The following is a 969-nucleotide window of genomic DNA, read 5'->3' as shown; positions in this document are numbered from 1 at the left end:
AAATAGATTAGGACACTCTCCATGACAATGGACTGGACAAAGGTTTATTGAGTACTACCCCAGGCGCAGGCAAGCTAAGCAAAAATGGACAAATGGGATCATATCAAGTTAAAAATCTTCTGCACAACAAAGGAAAGTGAAGAGACAACCAGCAGAATGGGAGAAAATATTTGCAACTATCCATCTGAGAAGAGATAATAACCAAAATATATAAGGAGCTCAAACAACTCTTTAGGAAAAAAATCAAATAATCTAATTTAAAATAGGGAAAAGATCTGAATAGACATGTCTCAAAAAGAGACATATAAATGGCAAAAAGGTATGTGAAAAAGTGCTCAATGTTATTGATCATCAGACAAATGCAAACTGAAACTAAGAGATATCTTCTCGCCCCAGTTGAAATGGCCTATATCCAAAGGTCAGGCAATAACAAACTCTGGCAAGGATGTGGAGTAAAAGACACCCTGTACACTTTTGGTGGGGATGTAAATTAATCTAACCACTATGGAGAACAGTTTGGAGATTACTCAAAAAATTAAAAATATGGTTACCATACAATCCAGCAATCCACCTGTTAGGTATATACTCAAAAGAAAGGAAATCTATATATCAATGAGATAGCTGCACTCCCATGTTTATGGCAGAATTATTCCTAATAGCCAAGATTTAGAAGCACTCCAATGTCTGTCAACAGATGAATGGATAAATAAAATTGGGGCACATATACACAATGGAGTATGGTTCAGCCATAAAAAAAGAAATGAGATCCTGTCATTTGCAACAACATCATGGAACTGGAGGTCATTATGTTAATTTAAATAAGCCAGGCACAGAAAGACAAACTTTGCATGTTCTCACTTATTTGTGGAAGCTAAAAATTAAAGCAATTGAATTCATGAAGAAAGAAGAAGCATGGTTACCAGTGACTGTGAAGAATTGTGTGGGGGTGCGGGGGAAAGTGGACATGGT

This window comes from Homo sapiens, chromosome X (genome assembly GCF_000001405.40).
Source record: "Homo sapiens chromosome X, GRCh38.p14 Primary Assembly".
Classification (NCBI taxonomy): Eukaryota; Metazoa; Chordata; class Mammalia; order Primates; family Hominidae; genus Homo; species Homo sapiens.
This window is presented reverse-complemented; position numbering follows the sequence as displayed.